We start from the raw sequence: 8,552 nt of genomic DNA, 5'->3' as shown, positions 1-8,552 counted from the left end.
GCCTTTACAGTTCACCAAGCACATTCATCACAGCAGCGGGCTTTCAGGGAAGGTCAGGTTCTGACATGCTAACAGAGATTCACCTTCAGGTCACCAGACTTGCAGCTACTCTGCTCAACACCTATCATAACCAACAAAAGTTTTCTCCCTTCGTCCTTTAAGGATGCGTGTGCCAAGAAGGGTCGGCGCAAAGCAATTTTGCCTCATGGTGTTTGCCTTGTAGCGTGTCTATTTTGAAGTTCCTTGGCCAAAACAGTTCCCAGGAGTAAAGATTACGATGAGGGGCCAGGCTGTGCAAAACGCGCGGGAGGGCGGACGACTCTCCAGCACACTTGGTTGAAGTCCAAGTCAACCCCTGGCTATTCGAAGAAGTGAAGCAGGACTTTTCAGCCTAAGGGGTAGGGGGACAGGGACAGGACAGAAGAGCGGGTTTGCCGGAGATTCTGGGAATTCTGCACCTGTGGATGAGCCGGTGCCCAAGGTGCCCTCTTCCTCCCGGGTCCCGAGTGGGAGATCCGAGGGGGACAGGTCCCAGGCAGCTTTCGCAGGCGAAAGGGCGGGGCGGGGCGGGGCCCGCGCACCTGGGCGGGGAGGGGAGGAGAGAGGAGGGGAGGGGAGGCGCGCGGGGCTGAGCCTCGCGGGGGCCGCGGCGCGCGCCAATGGGCAGCGGCTGGCAGCGCGCCCCGCGCCCGAGCCGCAGTCGCGCCCTCTCGCTTCCTGGCGAAGGCGCGGACGGCGCGCGGAGGCGAGCGCGGTGGAGAGGAGCCCCCGGCGCCGCAGCGCCGTCAGGGCATGAGGATGGCCGTGGGCTCCGTCAAGATGCAGCCGCCGTGCGAGAGCCCGGCCCTGGCCGCCGCGGCGGCGGTGGTGGCGGCAGACGGCCCCCTGCGCCGCAGCCCCAGCGCCCGGGAGCCCGAGCGCGAGCAGCCGCCGGCGTCGCTGCGGCCGCGGCTGAGGGACCTGCCCGCGCTGCTGCGGAGCGGGCTCACGCTGCGGAGGAAGCGGAGCGCCGCTGGGGGCCGGGTGAGTGGCCCGGCCCTGTCCGAGTGGGCACGGGCGGCGCGCACGTGGAGCCCGCGCCCACCCCCCGGGCCGCTGAGGGGGGCGTCTGGAAGTTGGGGAGGTGGCGGAAGGGACGCCCTTCTGCCGGACTCGGCTGAAGAGGGGCCCGGGACGGCGGGTTTTGAGGTGCCACCCCCTGAGCGACGGCTTCCCCCGCCCCCACACCTCCCCCCCACCAGGCTGCACCTGACTTAACCCCAGGGCCCCCAGATTCAGGCTGCGGGACCGGGCATCGGCTGAAGACGAGCTGTTTGCCTCTTCTCGGAGGGGAAGCTGCAGGTGTCCAGCGTCCAACAGCCAGCCAGCCCTGTCCCAACCGCAAGCTTCAGGCCCCACGAGCGGCATCCCTGTTTGCAGGACGCATGCGACGTGTGTGCTTGTTTTGGAGGTGCTGTTGCAAGCTCTGGGCATCGAGACTGGTTTTGGTGGTCTCCACCGCCGAGGGGCAGACCCAGGAGTCGGAAGCTCTTGGGTGAGCTTCCAGTTCCTGGGTTCCGGTGTCTCCAGCACTTAATACTCCTGGACACCCTCTTGAGCAGGAGGGTGCACGCCCCCAAGAACCTTCAATATTGACTTCCTGATGGTGTGTTCAGATACGATTTCCTGGTGAAGGAGTGTCCCTCATTGAGTTCTAAGTGCATCTAATGACCTGAGCAGGTCAGGCATGTTTTGTATTTTTAAGAGAAGCAGGAAGGTCTGCTGATTGTCTCCTGGGATCTTTAAGAAGCCACCTAGGAGGCCCCGCCAGGGCCTCAGGACACAGAGCTGACTTACTCAGATTTCCCTGCTCACCAGGGTTTGGCGGCACCTTTGGTGGGTTCTACTCATCTTTTAAAAATTTATTATTAAGTGGTCTTTAATGAGAAGCTGCATCAATGTGGTTTTTCTTTCCCGTTTGGCTGTAATTTTTAAAATGCAGTCTTGTCTGACTTAAAACAAGACCTTGCTGGGAGACTTCTAGCTCTTTCAGAGATGGGTTTGTGTAAACTTGAGAGTGAGGGATAACCACTTGTTTTCATGCGCCCTCCTTTGGGTAGGGAAGGGTCTGAACTGATGTCGGTCTTCAGCTTCTCGAGGCTGCATCTCTCTTTTCCTAGGCATTTTCCATCTCAGGTGGAAAATGGTCCATCCCAGGTCCATCTCAGAAGATGTTCTGAGGATTCTCTGTGTGTGATGGGACATTCTTAAAGTCGGTGACCCAGAGAGTTTAGGAATTGCCCACAAGTGACCTTAACATGTGTGGCATTTAGGATTGCCTGCAAAGTAAGTGAGGAAATGTGTCCCCAAGATGTGGTGTCGGAATAAACAAGAACTGGAGTTATAGACTTTGCAGGAATCCAGGGAAAAGTAGGTCAAATTATGTTTCTATTATCCTTGACGGTTACTTTTTCATGGCACAGAATACTGAAGACATGAGGGCTGCCAGGCAGTCTGCGACAAGAATTGCTGAGGGTTTCTGTATAAATAGATCTATAGTATTTATTTGCGTTCATACTCATGTTTCTTGCTGCCTGGGAGGGTGTCGTATACCTTGTCAATATACCTATTTAGTTTTATTTTTTAATTACTCTGAATGTGGTTACCTCAGATAATGTATGCTTTATTAACCCTCTTTGATTCTAATACTGTATTATTTCTTTTTGGGACTTTCCAAACACATTTCGTAACTGCATAGCCAGTTTTTATTGAAGGAAGTTTGATTGTCAGTTTTTCCAGTGTTGGAAACCCATACTTTTTGACTATTTATTTGACTGTTTATTTCCCCTTTCTTCTGCCTTGGAACTACCTTTGTGATTTTGGAATCTTCCCCATCAAAGGAGTAGGAAGGGGGTTGAAAGAAGGAGAAAAACAAGTGAAATATGAACTTGTCTTAGGCAGCTCAGGCTGTCATAACAAAATACCGTAGACTGGGTGGTTTAAACAACAGGAATTTATTTTCTCACAGCTCAGGATGCTGGGAAGCCTGAGATCAATGTGTAGGCTGATTAGGTTTCTGGTGAGGGCTCTCTTCCTGGCCTGCAGATGACCACTTTCTCGTATATCCTCTCATGGCCTTCCCTTGGTAAACGCAGAGGAAGAGAGGGCTCCCTCTTCTCATAAGGCCACTAATCCCATCATGAGGGCCCCACCATCATGACCTAGTCTAACCCTAAATAATTATCAAAGGCCTCATCTCCAAATAATGTCATGTTTGGGGTTAGGGCTTCAACATAAGAATTTTGTAGGGGGCATACACTTAACAGTCCAAAACACAGGGGGTTTGAAAGAAAGAGAGATACAAGTAGAATATGTATCAGACTGGTTGGTTGGTGACTTGTTAGCATCTGGGATTGTCTGGTTAACCACCTTGGATTGGGCAGTGATGCTAATGCAAACAAATCATGGCTTGGATCTTTTTGTAGACCTTCAGCTTTGTGTCTCATGGGCCATACCTCCAGACTGGAGCTGCGTGACTTCAGGGATAAGTTAACAGAAATCCATTACCACTAGTAAAGACACAGCTTTGTGCATTACATGAGTTAGTTGAGTTTTCATCTCCTATATTGACCAAGATCTGATTTAGGAATATGTGTGGTCCTTATCCATGCTGCCCTGGGCTCCCACAAACCTGGACAATCTGACATCAACTGACATTAACAAAGTTCTTTGTGGGTTGTGTTGCTCAACCCAGGTGCATTATAGGCTTTTTTTGTTGTTGTTGTTTTGTTTTGTTTTTTTTCTGAGACAGGGTTTTGCTCTGCCACCTAGGCTGGAGTGCAGTGGTGTGATCATAGCTCACTATAGCCTCGACCTTCTGGCTCAAGCGGTCCTCCCACCTCAGCCTCCTGAGGAACTGGGATACAGGCACACACCACCATGCTTGGCTAATTTTTTTTTTCCTATTTCTTTTAGAGACTGGGGGTCTCACTACGTTGTAGGCTATCTGTTACTAGGAAAAAATCAAACTGCCATTTGGTTAATATGCCTGAGTTCCTTGGTTCCTCAGTTCAGTCACTTCTAGTTGTGTTGAATTCAGCATGCATACTGGTTAAGACTCTTTGCACTTCTTTAAGACAAATGAGGGAAAGACTAAGTTGTACATTGTGGGAGGGCCCTAACTACCTCTTAAAAATCAGTAGCAAAGTAATGCACAACCTGAGTTCCTGACAAAACCCTTTAATTTTTTTAATTGTATAACAGAGATTATGAGAGAATGGTATAATGAACACCTGTGCTTCAACAGTTATTAGCATTTTGCCAGTCTTGTTTCATTTATTTTCCCCCTCCATACACTTTTGTAGGGGCTAGTGCATTTTAAAACAAAATTCCGTACATCATGTTGTCTTACTCACAAATTTTTCAGTTTACGGTCCTGATAAGGACATTAAAAACAACAGCAAAACTTTGCCTTTTTCACACCTAAAATATTAATAATTTAAAAATATAATTTCCATATTCAAATTTTCTCAAAGTTGTCTTTTTACTTATGATTGTTGGAAACAGGAGCTAAATGAGGTCCACATATTGTATTTAGTTGTTAGGATTTCTAATTTATTTTATAACAGCTTCCCCTCCCTTTTTTCATGCCAGTGATTTGCAGAAGAGAGTGGTTCATTTGTGCTGTAGAACATCCTACTGTCTGGACTGATTCCTTGTGGTGATGTTTAGCTTGTTCCTCTATTCTGTTTCCTGTGATCTGGCAGTTAGATATAGAGGTTTGATTAGATATAGGTTCAAAGACAAGTAACCTTCATGGATGGTGCTGTGTAAAATCTATTGCATCACATCGTGAGACGCATAATGTCTGGATATCTCTCTTTTTGAGATGGAAAGATTGATTCGTGAGTTTAGGTAGTGTCACTTAGCTGTCTGTCTTCTACTTAATGATTTTAGTATCACAGATCGTTGTAGCCTAGATCCTTTTCATTAGGGGTTGCAAAATGGTGATGATCTAAATCCATCATTCTTCTTGCATTTATTAATTGGAATTCGGTCTGTAAAGAACTTTCCCTCATAAATTATTTAGGTCTCCTGAAATTCACAATGTGCAGGATAGACAGGGAAAAGTCTTAATTTTTTCCTTTTACCAACTATCAGAGTAATGATTTGGTGCTTTAACAATCTCCAGTGAGAACCAGTGAGTTTTTCTTTTTTAAGTGTCATTAAGAACTTATGAATCTTAATGTATTTGTTTCTGTCACTTCAGTCAATATCCTTTTTGGTGCTTGGTTTATCTTTGTCTCCTGTATACTTTTTAAATGGCCAGTAAACTCAAATACCTTTCTTACTTTTCTGACGCAAGATATTCTAAGTGCATCTTGTCCATAGTCTGCTGCTCCCGACCTGAAACCCTGAAATCAGCCATTTTCCCAAGGAGCATTGATGAATTTTTTTTTTTTAAACTGACAATCGTTCATTTCCCCATCTTTTACCTTTCTTAGTGGTTGCATTATTTTTCCCTTGGTCTTAAGCCTCCTACCTTACTTTTTTGTATCTTTTTAAGTCTTTCTCATCAGGTTGTTTCTAAGACTGATATTTTCCCCCTAATAAAAGAACTGATAACAGCTATTCCCTTTTTCTGTATATACTGTCAAAATGCTGGGACTGACTTATTTTGGGCTTTGGCTGCTGTGATGTTTTCTGCAGCCTCTGCCACTGTCTTCAACGTCTTGGTATCTGTTTCATTTACAGCAGCCAGAATGATTCACCAGTTGTGCCAAATTGCTCACCAAAGACCTTCAGTGATTCCCAGCTTTTGGATTGGTCATCAGAAGGGCCTAATTCTCTTTAACCACCCTTCACTAGCCAGGGTTCTTATGGCCTGTGCTCTTCAAAATTGAGAAACTGGGAAGAACAGCTGGTAGCCCTCTGAATGAAGTTCTCTCTTTTTCTTTGCCCAGATGATTCCGTCTCAAAAAGGAACAAAGTATCCCTTTCCCTTTGTACAAGCTGGAGTGCTTTAGCTCTGACTCAATACCCTCCTCTGCTAGAAACTTGACTTTATTGATTGAGAAATAGAAACCGATCCAAATTATATACCAGTATGCCCAATGTATCGCCGTTTTAGGCACCTATTTTACAGGCAAAGCATGTCATTTATTCTTTGTGTTTAAATTGAAATCAATGGCTAACATCATAGCACTTAATTATGTACCATGCATATTCTGATATAAACTTCAACTCTCACTACAAGCCTATGAGCCTATGAGTTAGATGCTGCTATTTGCATTCCACAGATGAAGAAACTGAAACACAGGTGTAATTTGCCCGAGGTTACAGAGTGTGTGCCAGAAGGGAGGTTTGCATCTATGTATCCTGTTTCCGTAGAGCCAAGTCCATGCTCTGAATTAACTTTAGTTTTCCTCAAATGCATTGAGAGGGCAAAGGGTCTATTTACTCTAAACTGTGATAGCCTTATAGTACCTGCTGATATTATCTTACCACTCTGAGAGAGGTAAATAAATGCCATTAATAATGTCAGACTTTTCACTTTTATTTGGGCACACAGAAGCTTATTATTGACATATTGGGTTTAGGGGAAGTGGGGAGAAGCATTGTGGTTATAGGCGAAAGGTAACTAATGTTTACTTAAATTAAAAATAGCTCAAGATCAGCCTGGGCAACAAAGCAAGACCATGTTGCTACAAAAAACAAACAAACAAACAAACAACTAAAATACAAAACAAAACAGCATCCATGTGTCATAAGCAAAATCAGCCATGCTCACTTGATCAAGGTCAATCCAAAAACCTTGTGAATTCACCCAGCTTACTTTGTTCTCATCTGCTTATGGCAGCCAGAAGATAAAGGCCATTAAGAGAGGCATGCATCTGCCAGGAAGGGTGAGTCAGATCAGATATGAGGGACACATAGTGAACTTATTTGAGAAATATTGACTTCACTGCCTCTGCTTGCTGACAAACTACTATCCTGATCCTTGGTGTAAAACTGTGTTAGCTATGGCTACAGATAAAATAAAGCTCTGTGGATGCCAACTTCAAAAATATTTATTTGGGAAGAAGGAAAAGAAACTGTAGATTCATTTAATTTCGTGTGAATTCTAGCAAAGGAACTCAATGGCAAGTTAATATTTTATTTACTTATTTCTTCCTTTCCCTCCCAACCCCCACACTTTGGTGACATAATTAGATCCCAGGAAAAGACACAGGCTGTGGCTTCAGAGTGGGTTTGAATCCCAGTGCTATCACTTATTATCTTTGCATTAGTTATTCTCTGAGCATTCTGAGCCTCAGTGTCTTCCTCTGTAATGACATACACAGTGGATCAGGTTTTTCCATGAATAGAATATAAAGTGTTGGGTACATTGGAACTTAAATAGTTATGTCCCTGGCAGGATGCTTACTCTATGCAAAAGGACTTTCATGGACATATTTATAGAAATCTAGACACAAACATTTTTGCTTTCATATGCAATGTTGGATTCTATTTTTTAAAAGCACATGATATCCCAACATATAGTGAGTATTTTAGGTAGCGTCTAAATACTGATACCATAACAAATAGGCTTCATTTCATACTTGCACTTTCTCTTAAGTTGATGTGGCAGTAATTGGCAACTTGTGTAGCTAGCAATAGATGGAAAGGTAGGAAATAAGTCATTGGTAGTGACTTTGAGCGCTTGTGATTTTTTTTTGCCTCAATACTGCATAACAATCTTTGTTAGGAGTATAGATAATTCCAGTAATGATATATGATCTGGAAGTACTTTTTGAGAGATCATAAGATTTTATATGAAGATAAAATAGTAAAAATCAATGACTTAATTTGTTGTGGCAAATCATTATTATGGTAAATCATTCGTTAATGGGTACGGACAAGGGAAAATCCACAGATGCCACTGTGGTAGGTCTTCTTCAGATTGAAACCTCCAGAGTCCCCTGAAGGGAAGAGGTATTTTCACCTATGAGGAAATTACAATCCAGAGAGGTTAAAAGCTTTCCCATGGCTAACCATGTAGGAAATAGCAGAGAAAGAATGGAGCCCAGAACTACCTGATTTCAAAGACTGTAGCCTGTCTGCAATATCGTGTCTAAAACTTTGAAAGGATAACAACATATGGTATATTGAAACAATGGATGCAGGAAACATTTCAAGTCTTAGTGTAAAGCACAACTCATTCTCTTTCCACTCTCTTCAGTAATGGCTTCCAGGATCAGTCATTTATTTATTTTTATTGATACATATTTTCAGGGTACATGTGATAATTTGATACATTAATATAATCAAGGGTAATTGGGATATTGATCACCTTAAATATTTTTCTTTTCTTTAGGAACATTTAAATTATTCTCTTGAAGCTACTTTGAAATGAAATGCACAATCAATTAATGTTAAATTATAGTCACCCTTTTTTTTTTTTTTTTTTTTGGATGGAGTCTCACTCTATCGCCCAGGTTGGAATGTATTGGTGGGATCTCAGCCCACTGCAACCTCTACCTCTTGGGTTCAAGTGGTTCTCCTGCCTCAGCCTCCTGAGTAGCTGGGATTAC

General features: G+C 44.2%; 1 protein-coding gene across 1 annotated transcript in view, besides 6 other annotated features; it reads left to right on the top strand.

Annotated features, from left to right (window-relative positions):
- Positions 554-943: a silencer, noted in NCBI's record as "silent region_18002". NCBI's record gives its function as "represses an Ori minimal core promoter by ATAC-STARR-seq in GM12878 lymphoblastoid cells {active_cell/tissue: GM12878}" and the evidence as "EXISTENCE:reporter gene assay evidence [ECO:0000049][PMID:35858748]".
- RAPGEF5 (Rap guanine nucleotide exchange factor 5) overlaps positions 699-8,552 on the top strand; it is a 238,919-nt gene continuing 231,065 nt past the window's right edge. The window contains exon 1 of the mRNA NM_012294.5: positions 699-1,023. Within this exon, the coding sequence (NP_036426.4) occupies positions 793-1,023 (231 nt within the window). The 5' untranslated portion in view covers positions 699-792. The remainder of the gene's footprint in view (positions 1,024-8,552) is intronic.
- Positions 1,004-1,233: a silencer, noted in NCBI's record as "silent region_18001". NCBI's record gives its function as "represses an Ori minimal core promoter by ATAC-STARR-seq in GM12878 lymphoblastoid cells {active_cell/tissue: GM12878}" and the evidence as "EXISTENCE:reporter gene assay evidence [ECO:0000049][PMID:35858748]".
- Positions 1,354-1,423: an enhancer, noted in NCBI's record as "active region_25706". NCBI's record gives its function as "activates an Ori minimal core promoter by ATAC-STARR-seq in GM12878 lymphoblastoid cells {active_cell/tissue: GM12878}" and the evidence as "EXISTENCE:reporter gene assay evidence [ECO:0000049][PMID:35858748]".
- Positions 5,632-5,681: an enhancer, noted in NCBI's record as "active region_25705". NCBI's record gives its function as "activates an Ori minimal core promoter by ATAC-STARR-seq in GM12878 lymphoblastoid cells {active_cell/tissue: GM12878}" and the evidence as "EXISTENCE:reporter gene assay evidence [ECO:0000049][PMID:35858748]".
- Positions 5,972-6,081: an enhancer, noted in NCBI's record as "active region_25704". NCBI's record gives its function as "activates an Ori minimal core promoter by ATAC-STARR-seq in GM12878 lymphoblastoid cells {active_cell/tissue: GM12878}" and the evidence as "EXISTENCE:reporter gene assay evidence [ECO:0000049][PMID:35858748]".
- Positions 6,872-7,001: a silencer, noted in NCBI's record as "silent region_18000". NCBI's record gives its function as "represses an Ori minimal core promoter by ATAC-STARR-seq in GM12878 lymphoblastoid cells {active_cell/tissue: GM12878}" and the evidence as "EXISTENCE:reporter gene assay evidence [ECO:0000049][PMID:35858748]".

This window comes from Homo sapiens, chromosome 7 (assembly GCF_000001405.40).
Source record: "Homo sapiens chromosome 7, GRCh38.p14 Primary Assembly".
In the NCBI taxonomy this organism is placed as follows: Eukaryota; Metazoa; Chordata; class Mammalia; order Primates; family Hominidae; genus Homo; species Homo sapiens.
The sequence above is the reverse complement of the archived record's forward strand: the minus strand, read 5'-3'. Positions and strand labels throughout refer to the sequence as shown.